Source organism: Homo sapiens, chromosome 2, assembly GCF_000001405.40.
Source record: "Homo sapiens chromosome 2, GRCh38.p14 Primary Assembly".
Taxonomy (NCBI): domain Eukaryota; kingdom Metazoa; phylum Chordata; class Mammalia; order Primates; family Hominidae; genus Homo; species Homo sapiens.
The window spans coordinates 45,634,501-45,658,825 of NC_000002.12; the positions used below are offsets into that span (position 1 = coordinate 45,634,501).

The window sequence follows — 24,325 nt, forward strand, 5'->3', positions numbered from 1 at the left end:
GAAATCTGTGTGGCAGATTCTTATAAAGTTTAACATGTACTTACAATATAACCCTGCCATCCCACTCCTAGATGTTTGCCCTAGAGAAATGAAAACTTGATGCTTACAGAAAAACTTGTACATGAATGTCTATAGCAGCTTTATTCATAATCAACCAAAACTGGAAATGCATTAAATGCCCCTCAATGACTGAATGGCGAAGTAAATTGTAATGCATTCATTCAATGAATCATACTCAGCAACAAAAAGGAACAAAGTATTGATATGATCAATGACATGGATGAAGCTCAAAGACATTTTGCTAAGTTTAGTCTCAAAGGTTTCTGAAAGAAACAAGTCTCAAAGGTTACCTATGGTACAATTCCATTTATAAGATATTCTGGAAAAGGTAATACTACAGAGATGATGAACTAATCAGTGGTTGCCAGAGGTTAGGTGCTGGAGACAGAGTTTCACTACAAACTGGTAACATGAGAGAATTTGGGGAGGAGGTAATGGAACTGTTCTGTATTGATTGGTGCTTGCACAGATCTATATATATTAAAGCTCAGAGAACTGTACACACACAAAAATTAATTTTACTCTTTGTAAATAAAAGAAAAAGATGATGCAAAAGATGTTTGGTCTTTGGATGCCTTTGGTAACAAAAAGAGAAAAACAAAGTTTGGAACTGGGACAGGCTCCTTATTTTACAATTGGAGAAACTTCAGCCAAAGAATGAAAGTAACTTAATCAAGGTCAAAAGAATTAACAAGCAAATACAGGAGTAGATTTTCTTTCTGGAAATATTTCTCATCCCTGTCCCTGACCCAGGCCCATTCTGGCAAGTTTAACTTAGCGTCTATTTTTCTTTAGGGAATATTCTAAGTTCAGAGTTTCTGTGGAAGACAGAACAGAATCATGTGCAAATTAAAACAAAAGAAATATAAATGCTATATATATAAATATGCTCACATGCATATAAAAGCGATATGGTTTGGCTGTGTCCCCACCGAATCTCATTTTAGATTCCCATGTGTTGTAGGAGGGACCCAGTGGGAGGTAATTGAATCATGGGGGCAGGTCTTTCCCATGCTGTTCTCATGATAGTGAATAAGTCTCACAAGATATGATGGTTATAAAAAGGGGAGTTTCAGTCAGGCGCGGTGGCTCATGCCTGTAATCCCAGCACTTTGGGAGGCCAAAGCGGGTGGATCACTTGAGGTCAGGAGTTTGGGACCAGGCTGATCAACATAGAGAAACCCTGTTTCTACTAAAAAATACAAAATTAGCCAGGCATGGTGGCGCATGCCTGTAATCCCAGCTAGTTGGGAGGCTGGGGCAGGAGAATCGCTTGAACCCAGGAGGCAGAGGTTGCGGTGAGCCGAGATTGTGCCATTGCACTCTAGCCTGGGCAATAAGAGCAAAACTCTGTCTCAAAAAAAAAAAAAAAGAAGAAGAAGAAGGGTGGGGGCAGTTTCATTGCACAAATGCTCCTCTCTTTGCCTGCCGCCCATCCATGTAAGATACAACTTGCTCCTCCTTGCCTTTGCCATGATGGTAGGGCTTCCCCAGCCACATGAAACTGTAAGTCCAATTAAACCTCTTTCTTTTGTAAATTTCCCAGTCCCGGGTATGTCTTTATCAGCAGTGTGAAAACGGACTAATACAAAAAGATACATGTGTATCTCCTGTTTTGCAGATTGTGAAGTTGGCACGAGCCCAGCTCATAATGGATAGACCTATGGCTGACTATGAGAAAAGGTGTCTGAAGGATGGCCCAGATAGCAAAACAAATAAGCCAGTAAGCAAACAAATGGGGGAGCCCTGGAGTTGGACCGCCTGTCTATAAATCCAGGCTCTGCTACCTACTCGATGTGGGATGATCCTGTGGACATTGCTTAGTTTTTTACCACCTTACTGGGTTCATTTATAAAAGGTATCCTAATGTAAAGTACTACAGGAGATTAAAACAAAAAACTCACCAGCAACTATAGTAGTATGCCAGTACTTTCTCATCATGGATTACATAAGATGATAGTATGTGACAAAAATGTGCATCTTAGAATTGGAGAAATATGGTAATATATATTTCGTTTGGCTTTTCTGATGATTAAAGAGTTGTTAAGGCCAGGTGCAGTGGCTTGCATCTGTGATCCTGGCACCTCAGGAGGCCGAGGTGGGAAGATAGCTTGAGCCTAGGAGTTCAAGACCAGCCTGGGAAACATAATGAAAGCCTGTCTCTATCAAAAATATATATATATTATTATTTTTTAATTAACCAGGCATGGTGGTGTTGGTTCCACGTACTCAGGAGGCTGAAGTGGGAGGATCACTTAAACATGGGAGGTCGAGGCTACAGTGAGCTGTGATTGCACCACTGCCCTCCAGTCTGGGTGACAGAATGAGATTCTGTTTCAAAAAAAAAAAATTGTTAAGGCCGGGTGTGGTGACTCATGCCTGTAATCCCAGCACTCTGGGAGACCAAGGCAGGTGGATCACCTGAGGTCAGGAGTTTGAGACCAGCCTGGCCAACATGGCAAAACCCCGTCTCTACTAAAAAAAACAAAAATTAGCTGGGCGTGGCGGCTCACACCTGTAATCCCAGCACTTTGGGAGGCCGAGGCGGGTGGATCACCTGAGGTCAGGAGTTTGAGACTAGCCTGGCCAACATGGTGAAACCCCATCTCTACTAAAAATACAAAAATTTGCTGGGTGTAGTGGCATACACCTGTAATCCCAGCTACTTGGCAGGCTAAGACAGGAGAATCACTTGAACCTGGGAGGAGGAGGTTTCAGTGAGCTGAGACCTCACCACTGCACTCCAGCCTGGGCAAAAAGAGGGAAACTTTGTCTCAAAAAAAAAGTTAAATATTGATTTCTGGCACATAGTTCTCAACCAATAGTTGTTAGCTTTTATCACCGTTGTTACTACTACTACCATTTTAAGAAATGAATAACAAAACTTGTAATAAGTTGTAAAATGCTCCTCACACTCTGCCCTCCTACTGCATATCTTACCCACTTTGCTGTTGAATTTTCAAGCCCTGGTTCCTGCAAACATGAATGTATGGATGTCACCAGAAAAAAAACAAGAGAAACATTGACCACTTCTCAGTTCTTGTTAGAGGAAAACCACAATGACACATTAAATGTTGTGGCAGCAGGGTCAGTTCTGGCATGCACATGATGGTTCTCACAGGATGACTGAATTGGGGCAGGAACTGAGCGATGTTTACCTGGGTCGCTGTGCAGCGCACCAGCTGGAGCAGCAGCCTTTGCCTGGCGGGGTGTGGGGGCTTCCTTGGAGACTCAGATTCCAGGGAATTATAAAACACACTCACCGGCTCATTTCACACATAAAGTGGACAAGGTTGGTCATAGGAGGGAAGCCTTGTCTGGGGATCTGGATCAATCCTTCACTGAAGGACAGGGGATGAGGGCCATGTCCAGGGTGATAAGAACATGGACCTACGCTGCGGCTCTGGGTCTGCCACTTGCCAGCCCTGGCACTTCAGGCATGTGGCTCAAGGTCATTTCAGTCTCACTTTCTTCTCTGTGGAAACAGAGAAAAATAACTACTCCTTTACCGCACTGAGAGATACATACCTTAGGGTTCCAGTGGGTCAAATGGCTGGAAAACCATGGCTGCAAAGGGAAAGGCACTTAACCACATTGTTTCCCTATATTTCATTTATATCATCATTCAAGTTCTTTGACTCTTTCCATGCAGTTCTACATCTCGCTGTCAGAAGGAACAGTGTATAGGGGGATACCCAGATCTGGTCCTGGAGCCAAACTTAGTGGGACGCTGGGTGCAGGGCAAATCCCTTTGTGTGCCCTGACTCTTCACACCAAAACCCCATTATCCAGGAACCACCGTGGGGGAAAGGGGAAGCTGTAGGTCCTAGAGCTAAAAGAATTAAGAATGAAATGTTCCATAGGGACGGTGTATATAACAGAAACTATTATTTTCTGAGATGCAGTTGTGCCAGCTACTGTACTTACTGGTAATTAGTGGTTACAACCCCCTATTGCATTTGAATAAATGCAGGCTCATCGAGAGGCAGGTGATTTTCCTAAGATCCTAGAGCTTCCCAGATGGATTCCTCCTGCACACTACACTGTGCTGTAGGGACGGGCACCCCATAAGAGCCATCCGGATTGCACAGGTGACAGTGCTGGGGAGTCTTCATGAGAACCACTGGGCAGCTAAGCACTAGCTAAGAATTCTTTCTTCCTTTCTCTTTTATTTAACAAATGTTTATTGGAGCCTAGGAAGACCTCCACTCCCTAAAAATACTCCATGGAATCTGAAGCACAGTCCCTGATTCAGGAAGTTTGCACAGTAGTGGGAAAGGCCATGAGTGAACCTGGGTTTCATGGGACCTGAAGCTTAAGCAATTTGGAGAGCCCTCTTTTGGAAAAAGAACACCAAATTAGAAAGTGGGGCTTGGAGGGAGCACAGCAAATGAAGGGCCCTAAAGCTTAAGCCTTATGAGCACCACTGTAATTCTGCTTTTTGGGAAACAAGCAAGTAGAACAGTGATGACAATAAAATGTAGTGTGGGCTGATGAGAGATCAGGAGAGTCACTTAGAAGAAATGCCTTCTAAGGTGAGGCCCACAGAATGGGCCAGGGAGTCCTGGGAGAGGGAATAATAGGGACAGGATGCAGGCAAGGAAGAGGAGCTGGCATGGTTTTCAGGGAGTGAGGACAGCATCGTTTTCTCCTTCCTTTCCTAGATCAGGAAGCACCTGGGATGGTCCCAAAGTGCAGAGCCTTGAGCTGCCACACCCTAGAGGTTAACAGGACCCTTTCATCCGCAGGGCTGTCATCTTTTCTCCAAGCTCCCTGAGACATCTCAGGCCCTAGGAGAAGGCTTCCATACTTGGTTCTCACGCTCCAGGAAGAACACCAACCTGCTTTGAGGTCCCTGGCCTTCTTTCCTGGTTAGCTTACATTTGCATTTGCAAGAACAAAATGAGCCAGAAAAGCTTCCTTTGTCAGAAGTTAACCCTGAGGTCTAACAGGCTCAGAGAAAGGGAAGACAGGGGAGAGGCAGAGGGAGAGAGATATAGGGAAAAGACTAACCGTCAATAGGAAATCCTTCAGTGAGGCAAAAGCTTGAGCGACATCTACCCTAACCCAAAGGTGGGGTAAAGTTTGTGCCCCTCTGAAAGCATTCAGCAAGGTGTCCAAGGGGCTGTTAAGGCCCCTTAGGGGGCAGTGTGGGCTTTGTTTCCCCGTGTGCAGAACAGTGCCTTGCCTGTTGAATTCTGATGCCAATGCACTCACCTCTTCACCTCCCCAGCCCCCAGGCCAGGTCAGCAGCTAAGAGCGGATGGAAGGTCCTGATGTCTGAGCCTGGGTCTCTGTGCAGCGCACCAGCTGGAGCAGTGGCCTTTGCCTGGCGGGGTGGGGGGGCTTCCTTGGAGACTCAGACTCCAGGGAATTATAAAACATACTCACCAGCTCATTTCACATATAAAGTGGACAAGGTTGGTCATAGGAGGGAAGCCTTGTCTGGGGATCTGGAGAACCAGGCTCTCCTCTTGGATCTGATGCACTTGAGTCCTTTACTTTCTCTGAGTTCTAGTAGCCCCGTCTTTAAAATGGGAATAATACTTGCCCTGCACTGTGGTTGAGAAGAGGGGAAAAAGGAGGGATGGATATAAAAGCTCCCTAAAAAGTTCAAAGTACAGACCATCATTACATCTGAAGCCTGTGCCAGGTGACTCGCTCATCAGCCTTCACTGCATTGCAGCAACTCTAAGGTCACCTGCACGGAGGACACTGACCACGTTTCATTTGTGGGTTGGGAATGGACCTCCTCCCACTCCCAGGAAAGAGTCGGGGATGACTCCCACCATGCCACAACTCACACCAGAGATGAGGGCAACTTGGCATTTTAATGGGCAGAAGGAGAGAAGCTGGAAGAGAATGTCCTCTCTAGACACACCTAGCCCAGTGCATGGCCTCCTCTTCATCACACCTCATCGTCCTTATCTTGGCCCACACCTGCACCTGTGTCTCTTTCACTTGCACCACAGAGTCCTCATAGCCTTTTTTATACGGAATAAGATGGGGAAAGGGAGAGGAAAATGGAGAGGGGTTCAATTCTGCACTGAGGGTTAACCCAAACAGATCATCCTTATCTCCAGCAAAGGATGAAAGGACCCAGTGGGAGACGTTGCTCACTGCTCACCAAAAAGCCAGGCTCTCCTCTTCTTCCTGGGCACACTACAGGGCTGTGCTTCCCAGCCTCCCTGGCAATTATATGTGACCATGTGACTAAGTCCTAGCCAATGGGATGCGAGTGACCTGGCCCATAACACCCTCCCAGACTTGCTCCCCAGTAATCTGTTCTCTATCTGGATGGCTCCACTGGTGACAACCTTCAGGGTGACTGTGGAAGCCTGAGGACAGGGCCACCCTTTTGATTTGTTGACCTACCCAATACTGCTACATGAGCATGAAGTAAATGACTACTGTGTTTGAGCTTTTATGCATTTGGGGATCTACGTGTTAGAGCAGTCAGCCTACCCTAATTCATACAGATCATGATAGCCCGTGGGTTTTGCCACTTCCAGGAAGCCCATGTGACCTCTGCCTTCTTTCTACCGTCTTTATCTCGATCAAATGCTACCTTATAGTGCTATTTAATCATTTCATGGGAATAGTAACTAAAATTTAAACAAGGGGCTCTCATCTTTCTTTTCAATTTTATGCCATGCCTAGCAAAGTGCTGTCCCCAAAGAGATGTTTAAAAATCATTGGATTAAATCTTTAGGTTCACCCCTCTGTGTATTTAGTAGGAAGTTACTCCAGCAGGAATGTCCATTCTTTTTCTCTACCTCTGAACTTCTAGCATCTTGTCTATGCCCATTGTCCACCTCTCTTCTTCCACAGGGACTTTCCTTACCACTTTAGGCCTCAGTGATCTATCTTTCCTTCCCTCAAAGTCACAGCACCTTGTGGTCACTCACCTGATGATTCATCAAGATAACTTTTACATTATTGTCTTAACAGTGTAACTATAACATAACATATATAACATATATGTAAATATAACATAACTTACATATAATTTACATATTACATAACACTAGCTGTGTTATATGTAAATATAACATAACTAATTCTGCAGTGTAACTATAACATAATGATGCATTTAAAAGATGGGCAGAGGAAGAGGAGAAAAGAAACTGACAAGGAGACGTCAAGCAAGTAGGAAGAAAACTTGGAGAGTTCAGATGTCCTTGAAACTAGGAGAAGGGCTGGGCAGGTGACTCACGCTTGTAATCCCAGAACTTTGGGAGGCCGAGGTGGGCGGATCATGAGGTCAGGAGATCGAGACCATCCTGGCCAACATGGTGAAACCCCGTCTCTACCAAAAATACAAAAATTAGCCGGGCATGGTGGTGCTTGCCTGTAGTCCCAGCTACTCTGGAGGCTGAGGCGGGAGAATTGCTTGAACCCAGGAGGTGGAGGTTGCAGTGAGCTGAGATGGTGCCACTGCACTCCAGCCTGGGCAACAGAGCAAGACTCTGTCTCAAAACAAACAAACAAAAAAAGAAACTAGAAGAAGGGAGCATTTCAAGGCGAGAGGGGAGACAGCATCATTTGCGGCAAAGAAAGTGGTCAAATAAGGTACAGACCACAAAAATGAGTTTTAGCAGCATGGAAGTGAGAGATGTTTCAGTGAGCCCAATGATATGGGCTGAGGAGGGAGTGGGTAGTAAGAAAAGAAAATGGAGACTGAAAAATAACAACAAGGGACAGAGAGGAGAGGGTTAGGTGGTAGCTGGGCAGAAATGTGAGGTGAGGAAGGGTTACAATTTTTTTTAAAAGGGCTGAGACTTACTGAAGGAAAACAACCGGTAGAGGGAACGAGGGTGGAGAAGAGAAGTGAGGGGTGATCCACAGAGCAGAGTCCCTGGGAAGCAGGGCTGGGTGGTGCGGCCAGGAGACAGGTGGAGGCCTGAGCCCAGCCACCTGCTTCCATGATACCTGGTGGGATGGAGGAATGACATTCTTTCTTCCTTCCTAAGCTGTTGCCAGGTTTGGGGGCAAACCCAGCTGATGGCTTCTGTGTTTTTCAGAAAAGTAAGCCCAGCTATGTGCTGGGATGACGAGAAGCAGCCTCCAAGCAGGTCCTGACCTGCTCCCATGCCCAGCACCTCCCATCCTGGAGGCGATGCCTGCAGTGGGATTGTACGGCCACTTCCCACAACCCTCACCTCAGCTTCAGGAGCTGACCTGCAGCCTCGGGTTTGGGAAAATGCAGGGGTGGTCTCTGTGGTCTGTCTGAAGGCCCTTCGAATACCTTTACCTTCAAATTCTAGCTTCTTACAAACCTAGACCACAAATCCTTTATCTGTATTTTTCCTGAACCCAACTTGGATTTAACTGTCAAATAGATGGCCTGTGGCTCTAATGCAGCGATAAGAACAGAATTCTTCACTTTGAAAAGCCAAGTTGCTTTAAAAAAAAGTTGGGGGGCACAGTTTTGGCATACACCGAGTGACTGCATTTGACCTCCGCCTGCCTGGGGCATGTGGATAACGGCAGTGGTCCCATGCCGTGTGGTCTTCCTCTTGGCTTATCCCCCTAGCTCGCTGTTGTCCTAGTGGCCATGTACTATGTGCAGGACACTTTCATAGTCCGTTCATCCACAGAGCAGTCCTAGCCTCTTCTAATCTCCACTTAAGAGCCAATGAAGCTTCCAGAGCGCAGGTAACTTAAGTCACACAGCTTGAATTAGACTGGACAATGAGCCACCTTTCCACCGTGGCTGCACTGTGACCCTGGGTCAAACGGCCTCATGACCAGCCCCCTCCACGCCTGTCCCCTTCTTGCCCGGGTCTGCCGCCTTTTCTGCTCCGGGGCCTTAGGAATTCTCCTGGGACTGTGGCTCCCCTCTAACTCCCCTCCCTCCCAGTTGCTTTCTGTTCTGCTGTTCTTGTGGGTCTCTGTTCTCCTGGCTCCAGGCCTAACGGCCGCCCCCTCCAACCTTGGCCTTGGGAAGTCTCTTGGGGCGGAGAAGAGAGGGGCTGCCTCCTGGCCCCCACCCTGCGACCCTTCGTCCCCCGCTAAGCCGGGATGGCAGGCGGACTCGCCGGACCCCTTTTTAGACCCAAGGCTCTCTTCGCCTCTCCATCCGGCTCCGGCCGGGGTGGGGTGACCTGAGGGACCCGGTAGCCGACGACAGAGAAACTAGACCGGCCAGGACGTAGAAGGGTCGCTTCCCCCAGGCTGGTCCGGGGCTGAGCGGGGCACCACAGGGAGCGGAGACAGCGGAGGCGGTGAGAGCCTCGGGAGCCACTGGGGCGAGCGCGCCAGCGTCCACCAGAGGGCGCTGTCGGCTCGCGGAGTGGGGCGCGGGCGGCCTGGAGCCCCCCGGTGCGGCCCGGCATCAGAGCGCGCAGCGACTTTGTCACTGCAGGCTTGCCGGGTGGGTTGCAGAAGAGAGAAGAGACCCACCCATCCTCAAGGCACTCATTTGGGCAAGAAGGGAAGAGACCCACAAGAAGACTATTTCACACTCTTCTCATTTCAAATGTGTATAGAGCACAAAGTTGCATTTACCATGTCCAAGATACCGAGCAGCACCAACATGAGTCATCCTGGGTCTCCAAATTTAAAGACCTCTAGGGAAGTGGCAGGATCAAAGACAGGTACCAAAGAACTATACTACAGTATATTAGGGAGAGGCAGGAACTCCAACGAGACGTGAGGAAGAAGCGGTAGGAGAGTTGAGGGAGGAGTTACAGCTTCAGCTAGGGGATGAGGCCCGGTGCATGGAGGACTTGGGCCTTAAAGTGGGACAGATTCGCAGCTTTCCAACACATGTGTTGCAACAGAACCCGTGGATTTAAGCAGTTCTGGTTACACATTCTGTTACACGCAAATGCTTATCAGTGACAAAAGGCAATATTCCTTGCCCTTTAGCCCCAGCTTGTTGATCCTGAAAGGTAAATTAGAAATAAAAATGGATTCACCAAATATCCAGAATGTGCTAGAGATATATAACCTAGTCTGAACAATCAGATCAGTCATTCTGCTAATTGGTAAAATATCCACAGGGGAGCCTGGGAGACAGCTGTTAAACTTGGTTACAGGTAGCATCAAACCATCCGCCAAAAATACCTCAATAATTCTATTGGTATTGGGAGAGGAGACACAAAAATATAGAAGTTGAAGAACAACAAAGTCTTTCAGTCTTTTTGTTTTAAAGACTCTTATTACCAAACAACTTAAGGAAGAACTCTATCAACATCATAGTTCCCTTGAGAATTATGTTATTATAGTATAGATTATTATTGAAAGAATTATTATATTGCACTGTGCTAAGGCTAGTTTAATTTGGAGCCAATAAATTAAAACAAATCTAGACCTTAGGTTTATAAAAATGTTTCCAAGGAATTAAAATGTAATTGACATGATTATCATTAAATAGTGCTGCCTTGGTTCCGGCATGGCAATGTAGAAAGAACAGTCAATGTATAAGGTATAAGATTTGGGTCTAGACCTCTAGGTAGTGTTTTGGGGTTTTTTTTTCTGTTTTTTTTTTTTTTTTTTTTTTTGGCAAGTCAGTTAACTTCTCTAGGTATCAGTTTCCTCATTTAATAGAGGAATTTAATAACAATAAAGAATATAGTCTGGGCGCAGTGTCTCATGCCTGTAATCCCAGCACTTTGGGAGGCTGAGACAGGTGGATCACTTGAGGTCAGGAGTTTGAGACCAGCCTGGCCAATATGGTGAAACCCTGTCTGTACTAAAAAAAAATACAAAAATTAGCTGGGCATGGTGGTGTGTGCCTATAATCTCAGTTACTTAGGAGGCTGAGGCAGGAGAATTGCTTGAATCTGGGAGGTTGAGGTTGCAGCAGTGAGACGAGATTGTGTGCCACCGCACTGCAGCCTGGGTGACAAAGCAAGACTCCATTTCAAAAACTTAATTAATTAATTAAACAAACCAAGTGATCCCTCAAATCCCACAGAGTTTAACAAGTAAGTCTTCTCAGTTCTGTTGGGCCCAAATGCCTCCTTTGTGCTGCCGTGGTTCTAAAGTGGCTTTAAGGAACTGCACGTCCCATGAGGTGTTAAGCATATAACGGGGAGGGGAAAGGAGCTTGGATGGCTGCTGGTTCTGATATTAGGCAGGATTCTCCATGTCATCTGGAGTCTTCTGTATGCAGTGGCCCAGAGCAAAAGGGAGGGAGGACGGTCAAACAGTCTGACTCTTACTGTGATTATTGCTACCCTAAGTTCCTATAGTGCTTTCTGAGTGGGCTGATTATTTGTTATTTATTGTGTGCCACCTTGAATTACCTTTCTGCACCTGTCATTTGAGAATAGTGTCTATGGCAGTCTTCAGTGCTATTCACCAAACATTCCATGCTCCTTGACAGTACAGATGGTAGAACTTCCCAGACCCTGTGGTTGGGGAAGGCGGGATCTGAGACTGGTTCTAGCTAACAATTAGTGGGCACAAATGATATTTAGCACTTCCAGATGGATTTTTTTGGGTGGGGGGCAGGTGGGGGACAGGGTCTGGCTCTGTTGCCTAGGCTGAAGTGCAGTGTCACAATCTTGGCTCACTGCAGCCTCCTCAAGCAATTCTCCCACCTCAGCCTCCCAGGTAGCAGGGATTACAGGCACCCGTCACCATGCTCAGCTATGTTTTTTTAATTTAATTTAATTTTATTTTATTTTGTAGAGATGAGGTTTTGCTACCCAGGGCCTCCCAAAATGCTGGGATTACAGGCATGAGCCACCAGGTGGACTATTTAATTGCCTGTGTAAGACCCTCCAGACATCCTTTTTCTCTCTGCCCATGACCAGCCATGTTCCAGATGGTAACTTTTTAGCCAGCCTGGATCCAGAAGTGAGAATGACGCTAATGGGAAGCAGAGCTCCCAACCAACCTGCCATAGACTTACAGCATGCATGAGAAGAAAGCTTTGTTCTTTTAAGGTGTTGGGATCTGGGGAGAGCTTATTACAGCAGCATGACCTAGCCAATCCTGACTAATAAAGGGCCATTTTGTGTTGTCATTTTTTGTTTCCCTAGTGCTCCAAATGACATGACATGACACTACTGACTGTTAAATAAAGGACCGACTGAATTGATCTACTCATCTCCCCAGGTAGAGTAGGGATTATCCATATAGCTATTTATCCTCCCTGGAGCACCTGCCCTAGTATCCTATATATAGCAAGTACTTAGTAAAGACCCTTGGATTGACATATGATCTTAAAAGTCCAAGACAGGGGCCAGGCACGGTGGCTCACACTTGTAATCCCAGCACTTTGGGAGGCTGATGCAGGAGGACCACTAGAGTCCAGGAGTTCAAGACCAGCTTGAGCAACATAGTGAGACCCCATCTCTACAAAAACAATCAAAAAACTTTAGCTGGGCATGGTGGCACATGGCTTTAGTCCCAGCCACTCAGGAGGCTGAGGTGGGAGAATTGCTCAAGTCTGGGAGGCCAAGGCTGCAGTGAACTGTGATTGTGTCACTGTACTCCAGCCTGGTCAACAGAGTGAGACTCTGTCCCTTATAAAAAAAAAATCCCAAGACACAACCCAACATCTGACCCACAGAAGATGAAGAATGTTATGCTATTCTCCAAATGGCATCCTAGTGAGTAGGGCTCACAGTCACAGGCCCTGAGGAATAGGGGCACCAGGCCATCTCCTTCTGCATCCATCAGCAAGCTCGATAGGGCTGCCTCTGATCCCTCCACCTCTTTGCAGGTATTAAGTGAAGCTTGGCCTGAGTCACTGCAACAGAATATAGAGCAGAGATGGGGCCAGAATTCGGAGCTGAGATGGGGCCAAAATAAGAAGACATGGCAGGGCAGACAAAAGCCCACCACAGGAGTATAGGTGTGGGGCAAAGTTTGAAGTGGGGCTCAGGGTCGGGTGGGGGCTAGGCTGGGGCAGGACCAGCGGAGCTCTAGAAGGTTTCTGTGTCATTATACTGCTGCGCGTTCCATCCCATGGCCCAGGTGGTTGGATTCTGTTCAGCGGAGCATGTGTGGAATGTATGATAGACCCTGACCAGGCAGACCTTTGCAGAAGCCCATTAACATTCTATAAATGGCAACAACCAGCACAGCAACAGGGACATGAATATTAACGCGCTAGTCTACGGTTCTGGCTCCCCCTTCCCCGCTTCCTCCAGCTGATCTAAACAGTATCCACAGACAGTTTCAATTTTGATTATACAGAGTGTAAATCATCTTCAGACTTGGATCTTCTCTTTGTCTAATACCCTGTTTTGAGGTGAGCCTTCTGGAGGAAAATTACAGAAGAGAAAAATATTTATCCATCACAAAATCGCCTTTGTAAAGTATTAACTCTAGTTATGCTGCTTGCCCGCTGGAATGTTTGGTGTCTCTCCAGGAAAAAGTTGAGACCCATCTGCAGGCCCTCTGAGGTCTTAACTATCAGGTTCCTACTTACTTCATCTCCTGTTACTACCTGCCACAAGTGGGGCACACCTGGCCGCTTACCTGAAGAGTCATGGCTTTCCTACCTGTACACATTATACTTTTTGCAGCCAGTACCCTTCCCTTCCCTCTTTGCTGCTGGAAGAACTCCTGTTGGAAAGCCTAGACTCAGCTCAAAGGATTCTGCTGGTTGATGCCTTCCCAGGCTCCCCAGGCAAAGGGGTGATCCTTCTTCTGTGCCACTCCCATCCATAGACCTATTGCAACACTGATCGCCCTGTCCTGGCCACATCTGTTGTTCTATTCTTTTCTCATAAGCCTTAATTTTGAAAGGAGAAAGGCTCCATTTTGGTCATCTTTGTTAAATTATTGTATCATTTTCTTCCTTCTCACAAAGATTATGAAATAACTAGGCCATAGTTGGAATCCAAAGGTCATTTTACTCAATGTATATGCTAACCACTGTCTTATCCTTTGGGATTGGAGACAGGGGCTGAGGGAAGGATGAAGCTGGCAATAATTTCCTATTGGAATTTTACCGTCTAAGCCCCCTCCTTGGGATTTTCTTTTCACATGAAACCTGGAGCAGGGGGTTATTTTGGACCTGGCATCTCCATGATGTCCCTGGGGAATTCAACTTTTCATTTGGCCAAGTTTGAGAGTAGGAAGGCGAGAGATTTATTTAGAAATAAGGAGGTAATAAGGGCAGGAAACTAGCAGTGTTTGCATGCAGACTACCAGCATTCTCCCTTTTTATGTAAACATTAATCCAATACAAAACATGTATTTTGTTTGACAAAGTCTTTTATTACCCTTGCTCCAAAAGAGTTGCTGTAATGGAAAGGAGACAAGCATTGGTCGCCCTTGAGAATTGCAGTCTGGTGATTTACACGGAGTAACAGTCTGCTGAGCCAGCATGCTAGGAAATGGTGCTGGAAGTTTGTAGGTTGTTTTAAGACAGTCACTGAGATGGTAACAGACCCTATTTAATATATTTGGGGGCTGGGCATGGTGGCTCCTGCCTGTACAAGACTTACCCAAAGCAAGTAATGAGAACATATGAAGCACCAATTAGTCAAGGATCCCTAACTCCATGAAATCCTTGACTTTCCAGACTTCCCAACAGGATCAGGACTAGGGTGAGATGAGTGACGCACTCGGCTCAGGTACAAAATTTAACAGGTGCCAATAAACTCAGTAGTATAAATATTTTAGTGCAATATTTAAAATTATTTAAAATGTGGATATTGTGTCCATTCTGGATTCTCACATTTTTATTTTTAAAAAATTGTATTAAATCTTTATCTTGATTACGTTTATTGGTACCCTTTACATTTTGCCTCTGAAAAGTATCTCACTCATCTCACTTTGGTGCTGGCTCTGCTTCCCAAATGCATTTTCAGAAGATCAAGCCATATTTGCCACTGCCTTCCATCACATGCCCTGGAAAGGGGGAAAGAGGCTTCATGAGAATAGCAGAGTGGAAGGAAGAAGCAAAAGGGAAAAAAGTAATAATCAAAGAAATAAAAATTAAACAGCAATGAGATACCCCTGCTTGTGCTTTGTCAAACGGACATATTTTAAGATATCGTATCTCCAGCTGGGGGAGTGACAGGGTAAGACAACCATTGAAATCCTGGCTTTTTACATCGGAGCTACCTAGATCATACGGAAGACTGAATCTTAGCACCATCTCTACCCAGCTGCCCTGTTCAACAGGGCAGGCTGCGAGAAATTACTGTATTAGGAAGCTCCAGAGCGGTTGCAGGCAAAGGCTTTGCCTGTTCTTAGGAGATGGCCCTAGAACTTTTCGGATCATTTTTGGGACGTGTTTGCTGCACTTGATATCCTGTTTTTCCAGGGGACTGCCTCCTTCCTCGCCTTTAAGCCTTTTTAGGCTTTTAAGCCGCAGGCAATGATAACCTTTACCCACTGAGGAAAAAGTGATCGGGAGGCGCGTTTTAAATTTTGGTTTACACTAACCAGACCCGCCAGATGAACACTCAGCTTACCACAATACCTACAAATTCCCAGACTTGACTTGGCAGAAGGGCGAGGGCGGAGGTTTTCTTTCCCCATTTGCATAATCCCCAGCTCCCCGGCAGCGGAGCCGACCTCTTCACCGCCGCCGTCTTCGCGGGTGTCCCAGCTGGGCCGCGCCCCGGGGCCCAGCGCTCCGGCCCTGCCCTCCCAGGTTCCCAGTCTCGGGCGCGGGGCAGTCCCTCGCCGGCCGCCGGCCCGGTCCCGGCTCCCAGCCGAGGAAATTTTTCCCCAGCAGCCCAGGGCTCTCCTCACGTGACCAGCCGCGGCGGTAGCTTCCAGCGAGAGTTTAAAGGTTACGGAGGAAATTAGCAAGGACACAGCCACTCGCCCCCCGGAGGGCGCGCCCCATTTTCCCGCAGCCCGGACGGCGGCTGTCAGCGCGCTGATCAGTGCCGAAGTCCCCCAAAGGGGCACCGATAAGGACCAGCGCAAACAGGAACAGTCACTTTGCAAAAAATAAGCAGACCACAAACCAAGCCGGGGCTCTACCGAGCTTTCACTTGTCAACAAGTTCTCGCAGCCTGCGAAGTCCAGGACAGATCCCAAAGGGGAGAATGTCCCCAAAGAAAGGCAAGAGAGAAGAACAGAGTTTAAAACTTCACCCGAGCCATGCTTGTCCCTCCCCCTTCCCCCTCCCCCACCGCCGTGGATCACAGCGTCCCGGGACAGAGTGACAGATGGGCCAGAACTCCGCAGACTGCTCCTGCCCGCCGCGGCCCGAGTGGGGGTGGGCAAGGGAAGGGTCCCGAGGCCTCTAGGGCAACAGGGCCCCCTCCACTCCCCCATCCCCGGCTCTAAAAGACAGTGTTGGCCGCAGGGTCCCCGAGAGATACGCGGCCCGGCGGGGCCCATCCATGGCCATCCACGGCCCCCGGCACGCGCATCCAGCCCAGCGCCGCCGCACCCCGGGGTCCCGCGCGGGGTCCCCGCCCCCCGGCTGACCCGCCCGCCGCTGCGACCCCGGGCAGCCTCGCCAGCTCTCCACCGTTGTCTCCTCGGCTCACTTTTTCCGTATTGCTCCCCCAACCGGCAAAACTTTCTATTTCCCCAAACACTGCCGTGCGCGCGCGCGCGTGCACACACACACACTCACACACACACACTCACACACACTGACGTCTTTTGCGCATTTCCTGCATTAGAGGGAGGGAGACTCGCTCGCACACCGACAGAGGGAGAGGAGACCGCGGGGGAGCGCGGGCTGGCGGGCGGCGAGCGAGCGGCAGCCGAGAGCGGGGACGCGGGGAGCGCGGAGGGCGGGCGCCGGCGCCCAGGAGGTGGGGCCGCGCTGAGTCGCAGTCCCTGCCCCGCCGCCGCGCTGCGCACCGCCCGGTGCTGGCCTGCGCCCCCGAGCCGGATCGGCGGCCGCCCGGACTCCGAGCCCGCGCGGATGTGAGATTCCGGGCTCCTGGCGCCTCCCGATCGCCGGCTCCGGCGCGGCGCTGCTTCGCCCAGGAGGCGGCGGCCCCGGCTGGCCGTGGGGCTTGTGGATTTTTAAAAATTTGGCTCCGAGGAGGACCATTTCCTCTCGACATGCATCCCTCCGGATAGACTGAACATCCCTCCGTTCACCCCCCCGCCCCGCGCGGTCAGAGGCAGGCGCTGAGTGTGCGAAGAGGATCCGGGTTGAAATCTGCGCCCCCGGTTCTCGTCCCCGCCCCGTCCCACCGCCCCATCCCCCTCCCGGAGTCGAAATTTCCCGGGATTATGTTTCGGAAAGGTAGGTAAGCGCCGGGCGCGGCGCCCGCTTTCCCGCAGTCCGGAGCCGGAGAGCCAGCGAGGCGGCGAGGCAGCCCCCGCGGCTTGCAGCGGAGCCGACAGCTCGTCTTCTCTTCTGGAGGTGCAGCTGGTGGTCGGGGGGAGAGACTTGCTCCAAACACGGACATCCCCCAGCTCTCCCCCCTCCCTGTTTTCCGTTAGGAACCCGGCGAGGAAATACATGCACTGGCTGAGAATCGCCCGCGCCAGGGCGCAACGCCACAAGGTGTAGGGAGTGTGCGGGGTGGGGCGAAAGGGGACCCAAGAGTCCCTGTGGCTCGGAGTGCCGGGCCGTCGGTTCTTCATTCCTGCCCTCGGGGCAGACGGAGTGACCCCGGCCCCCACTCCCCGCCCCGACCATGGTAGTGTTCAATGGCCTTCTTAAGATCAAAATCTGCGAGGCCGTGAGCTTGAAGCCCACAGCCTGGTCGCTGCGCCATGCGGTGGGACCCCGGCCGCAGACTTTCCTTCTCGACCCCTACATTGCCCTCAATGTGGACGACTCGCGCATCGGCCAAACGGCCACCAAGCAGAAGACCAACAGCCCGGCCTGGCACGACGAGTTCGTCACCGATGTGTGCAACGGACGCAAGATCGAGCTGGCTGTCTTTCACGATGCCCCCATAGGCTACGACGACTTCGTGGCCAACTGCACCATCCAGTTTGAGGAGCTGCTGCAGAACGGGAGCCGCCACTTCGAGGACTGGGTGAGTGCGGCGCCTCCCCGTCATTCCGGGAACCCGGTTGTGGGGTCCCGGGGAAAGACTCGCTGGTCTTGATCGTAGGGCTCCGGGACTTATTGACGACTGGGGTGTGTGTGCCTGTAAGTCTCAGTTTCCTTGGGGAGGTACACTTCACTTCATAGTTGGGGAGAAACAGGCATTGGCGAGGAAGATGAGACTTGGAAAGAGGATGTGGCCCTCTGCTCCCTCTGTGCCCTCCAGTTGGTGGGTGCTGCGGGAGGTTTGCAAACTGGGAGAGCCTGGGCCACTGGTGCTGAAGGTTGGCCGAGGACCCGGCTTTCTTCCGCAGGCGCGTGGTGGGCTGGCTGTGTGTGATTGTGTGTGGGTGGGTCCCTCCGTCCTTGGAAAGGCACGTGGAGCCTTTGACTGAAGGCTTCTTGCACGTCCTGGCTTTGTCCTGCTTAGCCGAGCGAGGAGTTGCTTTATTTTTCCCTCCGAGAGGAAGCTGGCTTGTTTCTATTCTCTTGCATGGTGGTTAGCTCATCTTCTGACATACAAGTAGAAAAAATGTGTTCTCCTCCAGGATGTCTCCTCTATGGTCCCAGAAACATCAGTCGAGCTTGTTTTGTCCAATTCATTGCCCATCCATGCAGAATGAATGTTGCATTTTAAGAAGGGTTCTGCTTGTGGGTAATTGGAAGTCAGTGCTTTGAATCTTATTTAAAGTTATATTGTTTCTCTGTTTTGATTGTCAAGATACTGTGCAATAAAAGACGATTTCTAAGTATGAGATTGAGTTGTTAATTGATTCCATTATTAAACTATTAAGGATTTGGAAAGAGGTCTTGTCTCAATCTACTATAAACCAAATGCATCCAGTCTTGGCACTTGGACAAGCAGAGAGAAGCAAACCTTCATTTTGCTTTTTGTGTTTGTTTTTGGGTTGTTTTTTTTTTTTTTTTTTTTTTTTTCTCTCTTCTTGGAAGGAAGGTATTAATTTAGGATGTGGATTTTTGTGTTTTCAGGTTTGTTACATGTTTCCAGCAAGTACAAGCGTTCCTCTGGAGGTATATGTTTTCAGGGTTCTTTGGTCTACACAAAAAGTGAGAGAGCTATCTAAGCCTCAAAAGTGGTGTAGAGCAATTGCTTTCTATTGAAAACCAGCTAACTTCATGAATGTCCTAGAGGTCAGAGGTTGCACATGGATCACTTTGGCATATCACCTTACATATTTTTTTCAAGGACACGGAGTTTTAGGGAAAAATAAGAGAGAGCCTGTTGTTTTTGTGCTCATGGCTGTGATGTAGTCTGCCTGAAACCATGGTTACGGTTTCACAGGGAAGCTCCAACAAGCCACATGCGTAGAACTCTAGATTTGTGGTTTGCACTTTGGAAAGCAGGCAAACCTTTATGGAATCCCAGAGAACTCCATGCCATTCTATTCTACTTCACAGATGTCCCTCATCTCTGCTTCCTTCAGCCCCCACAACAGAGCTCCCACTCATTCCCCATTTCTTTTCCATGCATGGCCTTTGGGCCCTTTCCTCATGAATGCAGTGCATATGAGAGGGGGAGTGGAAGGGATAACTAATTTCAGAGGTAGACCTTGACTCTGAAAACCTGTGATTTTGGAGTTGTTGTTTTTGGACAGGAAGGGGGTGGAAAAAACTTGACGCTGGTAGCTAGGAGATGGGAGCCTTTTGCAGTGTATGCAGATGAGGGGCTTGGACAGTGGGGCAGAGAGCAGGGATGAGGAGCAGCAGGTCTGCATTTATCCATAGAACAGATGTTGGTTGGAGGGAGAGTGTCTTTGTATCTCTGGTGATGCTTCACTGGGGCACACCCCAAACTCTGGGAGCTTCAGGACACTGTCCCCACCTTCATCCCTCCTAGTGAAGCATGCAGTGGGAACTTGTTTGGTTATCATCCTCTAAGGTTCTCAAATTCATGTTGGATTTGGCCCTAGGCCAGATCATCTAGTGCACAGGCAAGTTTTACAGATGAGGACATTGAGTTCCAGAGAAGCTAGTTGGGGACCGAGGGTCACATGACAAGCAAAGGTGGGTTGGAAGTAGGGCCCTCACCGCCTGTTGCCCATGGCTTGTCTGATGGGGAGCCGAGCCTGCCCATCTGGCCTCCCAGCCTATTCTCCCTGCAGATCCATGTGCTGTGTCCCTGACATTTTTATTGTACTTGATAACTTCATCTCTTTTGCCTTATAGCAACTGTGAATTAGGTATGGCAGGTATTGGACAAACTAAAAAACTTGAGATAGAGAAGCCCAAAGTCTGAAGGATGAGTCAAGCAGTGGAGCAGGTTCAGAATGCCCATCTGTTTTCACCAGAGGATGCTGTAGCCACTCTGGTTCCTCCAGGCTGAAGGTGGGGACTCATTGGCAGGGGTGACTGGCCCCTGGAAATGGAGACAAGTTGCAGCTGGGCTAAGTTCACCTTTCCCAGTCTTAACATTCAGGGTAAACCCATGGTTTCATAGCTTTGGGTAGAATTCCCTGGGCTCAGGTCTCTTCACTCCTTACCTGGCAGGAATGAAGAAACACACCCTTCTCAGGTGTGGCTGAGAGATCTGGCCTGAAGTAAGGGGATGTGGATAGCATAAAGCAGCCGTTTCTCTCATTTTTGCGGAACACCGAATTCTGCCGCACTTTGAATTCACTTGTATTCCTGGAGTTCCTGTTTTGTGCTCATGTCTAACCAGGGAAGCTTCTCACTGTGGGCCATCCAGAGGAAAATGAGGCCCTGGGTTACTCTCAAGGGGCTTCCATTTCACCAAGGAATTGACACCAAGTACCCACATATACATCAAGCTTGTCTAACCCATGGCCTGTTAGCCACATGTGGCCCGGGATGGCTTTGAATGCAGCCCAACACAAATTTGTACACTTTCCTAAAACGTTATAAGTTTTTTTGCATTTTTTTTTTTTTTAGCTTATCAGCTATCATTGGTGTTAGTGTATTTTATGTGTGGCCCAAGACAATTCTTCTTCCGATGTGGCCCAGGGAAGCCTAAAAGTTGGACACCCTGATGTAGACACTTAACTAGCAATTAGGTTCCACACAGGTGGTACCATTAGTGTGTTAAGAGTTTAAAAAGGGAGTGTGGGCTAGGCACTGTGGCTCATGCCTGCAATCCCAACTACTTGGGAGGCTGAGCTGGGAGGACCGTTTGAGTCCAGAAGTTCAAGATCAGCCTAGGCAACGTAGTAAGACTCCATAACTACAAGAAACTTAAAAATTAGCCAAATCTGGACCTGCGGTGTGGTGTGTGCCTGTAGTCCCAGCTACTCAGGAGGCCAAAGTGGGAGGATTACTTGAGTCCAGGAGTTCAAGGCTGCAGTGTGCTATGATCTGACCATCAGGCCACGGCATTCCAGCCTGGGTGACAGAGTGATACCCTGTCTCTTGAAAAAAAAAAAAAAAAAAAAAAAAAGGTAGGGAGAACTGGAAGAATCCAGGAGGGTTTTTGGAAGGAGGCATGAGCTGAGTGTGAAACAGTAGGTTATATTTAAAGAGGTATCTACAAGAAGGAGCAGTGTTCCTGGCATGGCCACCGCAGGAATAAAGGCAGACAATCCTGTAGTCAGGGTTGGAGAATGGATGAGCAGGACAGAAACTGAGTGTACCTGTCAGAAAGGAGTGGGCAGGACAAGGTTTCCCAAATTTAAGACTTTTTTCTGAGTACTGCCTGTGCTTTCATTTACTTAATATTTAAAAAATTGATTCTTTTATTTTCCACGTAGTCTTTTCTTAAGCCCCACTATTCATGAAATCACAGGTTTGGAGCATGTAGTTATAACTTTTCTTTGTTCACATTAAAATAAACAGGGCTCTACAATACAGAAACAAAGTTCATTCCAAGTGCCTCTGAACATCATTAGTGATGTGGGGCCCACACTTCGGAAACATTGGAGTAGGAAAAAGTTTAGAAAACTGAGGTGAATTCTAGAATGCGTAAAAGCCAAGCTGAGATAATTATTCTCCAGATAATGAGAGATGTTTCAGTTGTGATGACAAAGGAGGTTGCTTTAGAGAAAGCTCATTACAAAGAGAAGGAAAGATTTTGCTGATGCTTTGAAGTAAAATCTATTATAACACTATTGCTATAGCTGGGTTTTCCAAGAACCAGTTAATAACGCTACTCAGACTTTCATGTACATAAGAATCAGTAAGGGAGGGCATATAAAAGATAGATCTATATAGATTTATATAGATCCATATAGATAAAAATATAGATCCTCTGGCCCAACCTTGAGAGCTTTTGATGCTACAATTTGGAATAAGCTGGGAATCTACATTTTTAACCAGCTGTCCCAGAGATTCTGACCAGACCAGGCTTGCTTTGAGAAACATTGGGCTAGAATAGAAATTGCAGGCCAGAGAGGGCTCCAGATAATTAATGGATCAAGCATTTTTACATAGATATGTCCTGAAATGTGACTGTATAACTTTATAATTTTTAAAGAAAGATTTAGAATAATAATTGTGTGAACTAGAAGTATTGGGATTCATGTTAGAAGCAGAGGCTGAATGAATGCTGGATGGATTGGCATTGCATTTAGCACAGGGGTGGGAGGCAGGCGGAGCAAGGATTAGGGCTTGAAGGGCTGCATGCAGGTGACAGCTAGCTGGCTCGTTCACATTTTGGATTTTTCTCTATCATTGCTTCAGTAGTCTACACACTGAGCTCAGTTTCCTCTTTGTTCTACTGCCCTGCCTCTGAAGACATCTTTGGCGAATGTCACTCCCTTGCTGTATTCTGTAGAAGAGGCAGGCACTCAGAATCCAGAGGTACAGAAAGCCATCATTTGAGAGGTGATTCCCCGGAGCAGCGAAGTCTGGAGTCACACTGCTTGGACTTGAATCCCACTTCTACCATCTACCACTTTCATGACCTTTAGCGAGTGACTTAACCTTCCGTATTTCCATTCCTTCCCCTGTACAAAGTGGGTGATAATAAATATACCTCCCTATAATGAAATGGGTTTACTGTGGGGATTAAAATGAGTTAATACATGTACAATGCATACACCAATGCTTGGTCCCTAGTAACTGCTCAATGCATATCTACTATAATTATTATTATTATAGCCCCCAAAATGAGCATGGGGCTGGCCTAGAGAGAGTTTTTGACTGAATTGATTATTATATAGGCCACGAGAAAGCTAGGTTTTCATATTCTCCAAAGTAGCTCTCTTCAGTCTGGCCATCTCATTTGGCAAAGAATGGGACACTAGAAGTGTCATTTCTGGTTTGTATTTCCCAAGTAGCCCATCGGCAAAGCTTTTCAAAATGATGGCACCCCTGCTGACTCTGGGAGATAGGCCTATACCCTGTTTGGACTCTGGGAGATAGGCCTGTACATCATTCGGAGAGGTTAGGCTCTGAGGCCGTTCTCCCTTGGCCCACCAGAATCACTTGGGGGAGATTCATGCAACACAGATGCCAGGGCACAGCCTCTAGCAGTGCTGATTCTGATGCCCCGAATGGAGCCTGAGTTAAGCAGGACCCCTGCTGCATCTCCTACAATGGCAGCCTGACCGCACTTTGATATATGTTACTCTAGAGCACATCTCTATCTTCAGGACATTTGTAGGAAAAAATTTTTTAAAAGGATTTCTGAAACCTCCATTGTCATTTAAACACAGTGGGGTGGGAAGGGACTACTAAGGGGGTAAGGAGGTAGGGAAGGGCTGGCAATTGTCCATACCTCCTTCGTGTGCGCCTATACCCTGAATTATTTCCCCAGCAGCCAAGGGTCCCTGGATCTCCCTTTCCCCTACTCCCATAATACCATGTAATCCAATATTGCTCTCATTGGTCCATAGCTGGTTGTTTAACAACTACCCAAAGGATTCATTCTTGGCCCAGTGCTATCACAGACAACCTCTTGGCATTGGGTCCCTAGAGTTAAGGACCTGAGTTAGCCTTCAACTTCATGGACAGTCAAGCGTTGTTTGAACTGTTTCTTCTTCTTAGTGTCTTTGACCAGCAGCAGATTTAGTGAATATTTGAGACCCTGAATTCCCTGGCTCCTCAATGGACCGCTCTCCCTGGATTCAGTGAGTTCTAACTGGAAGGCATCTCCACCACTCACTAGTTGTGTGACTTTGAGCATGTGACTTAGGCTTTTTAAGCCCGTTTCTTCATCTGTAAAATGGAAATGTCGTAGGTCTTGACTTTCAGAGTTGCTATGAGAATTAAATAAGGAACTATAAAGCTTGTAGCAAGTGGTCTGGCTATAATACATTTCAGCAATTTTATTAATATTTGAAGAGTCATTTGTGTGTTCATAGTTTTAGAATCTTAAATCAGAACATATGGTCCAGTGAAATATATTTTTCTCCTTGATTTGTGAATGTATTTATATGAAAAGTCTTACATACT

At 47.8% G+C, this 24,325-nt stretch overlaps 1 protein-coding gene and 1 long non-coding RNA gene across 10 annotated transcripts in view, besides 8 other annotated features; one reads left to right on the plus strand and one right to left on the minus strand.

Annotated features, from left to right (window-relative positions):
• Positions 5,896 to 6,072: a silencer, noted in NCBI's record as "fragment chr2:45867535-45867711 (GRCh37/hg19 assembly coordinates)". NCBI's record gives its function as "represses an EF-1alpha promoter that drives an FKBP-Casp9 reporter gene in an ReSE screen in HepG2 liver carcinoma cells {active_cell/tissue: HepG2}" and the evidence as "EXISTENCE:reporter gene assay evidence [ECO:0000049][PMID:32094911]".
• Positions 9,237 to 9,446: a silencer, noted in NCBI's record as "silent region_11438". NCBI's record gives its function as "represses an Ori minimal core promoter by ATAC-STARR-seq in GM12878 lymphoblastoid cells {active_cell/tissue: GM12878}" and the evidence as "EXISTENCE:reporter gene assay evidence [ECO:0000049][PMID:35858748]".
• On the minus strand, positions 14,227 to 16,715 carry LOC102724965 (uncharacterized). Of its 2 annotated transcripts, none has more exons than XR_005647119.2 (2): positions 15,465 to 16,715; positions 14,227 to 14,883 (listed from the first exon to the last, which is right to left on the minus strand). It is a non-coding gene; the product is annotated as an uncharacterized LOC102724965 (long non-coding RNA). The 2 variants fall into 2 exon arrangements; XR_005647118.2 differs by having other exon boundaries at positions 15,453 to 16,713.
• Positions 15,605 to 15,704: a silencer, noted in NCBI's record as "silent region_11439". NCBI's record gives its function as "represses an Ori minimal core promoter by ATAC-STARR-seq in GM12878 lymphoblastoid cells {active_cell/tissue: GM12878}" and the evidence as "EXISTENCE:reporter gene assay evidence [ECO:0000049][PMID:35858748]".
• Positions 16,335 to 16,434: a silencer, noted in NCBI's record as "silent region_11440". NCBI's record gives its function as "represses an Ori minimal core promoter by ATAC-STARR-seq in GM12878 lymphoblastoid cells {active_cell/tissue: GM12878}" and the evidence as "EXISTENCE:reporter gene assay evidence [ECO:0000049][PMID:35858748]".
• Positions 16,450 to 16,744: an enhancer, noted in NCBI's record as "tiled region #4153; HepG2 Activating non-DNase unmatched - State 1:Tss, and K562 Activating DNase matched - State 4:PromP". NCBI's record gives its function as "activates a minimal TATA promoter and a strong SV40 promoter by Sharpr-MPRA in HepG2 and K562 cells {active_cell/tissue: HepG2 | K562}" and the evidence as "EXISTENCE:reporter gene assay evidence [ECO:0000049][PMID:27701403]".
• Positions 16,450 to 17,074: a biological region, named in NCBI's record as "Sharpr-MPRA regulatory region 4153".
• Positions 16,605 to 17,074: a silencer, noted in NCBI's record as "silent region_11441". NCBI's record gives its function as "represses an Ori minimal core promoter by ATAC-STARR-seq in GM12878 lymphoblastoid cells {active_cell/tissue: GM12878}" and the evidence as "EXISTENCE:reporter gene assay evidence [ECO:0000049][PMID:35858748]".
• PRKCE (protein kinase C epsilon) overlaps positions 16,779 to 24,325 on the plus strand; it is a 536,712-nt gene continuing 529,165 nt past the window's right edge. For 6 of the 8 annotated variants that reach the window (XR_007078551.1, XR_939695.3, XM_011532980.4 and 3 more), the window contains exon 1: positions 17,175 to 17,948. Coding sequence is in view for 5 of the 8 variants with exons in the window: in NM_005400.3 (NP_005391.1) it covers positions 17,601 to 17,948 (348 nt within the window). In the remaining 3 variants the exon portion in view is untranslated. Of the gene's footprint in view, positions 17,949 to 24,325 lie in introns of all 8 variants that reach the window. The other 2 variants (XM_005264428.2, XM_047445100.1) reach the window with 1 other exon arrangement.
• Positions 17,233 to 17,853: an enhancer, noted in NCBI's record as "H3K4me1 hESC enhancer chr2:45878872-45879492 (GRCh37/hg19 assembly coordinates)". NCBI's record gives its function as "activates a minimal SCP1, AML or CMV promoter by ChIP-STARR-seq in naive H9 embryonic stem cells {active_cell/tissue: H9 hESC(naive)}" and the evidence as "EXISTENCE:reporter gene assay evidence [ECO:0000049][PMID:30033119]".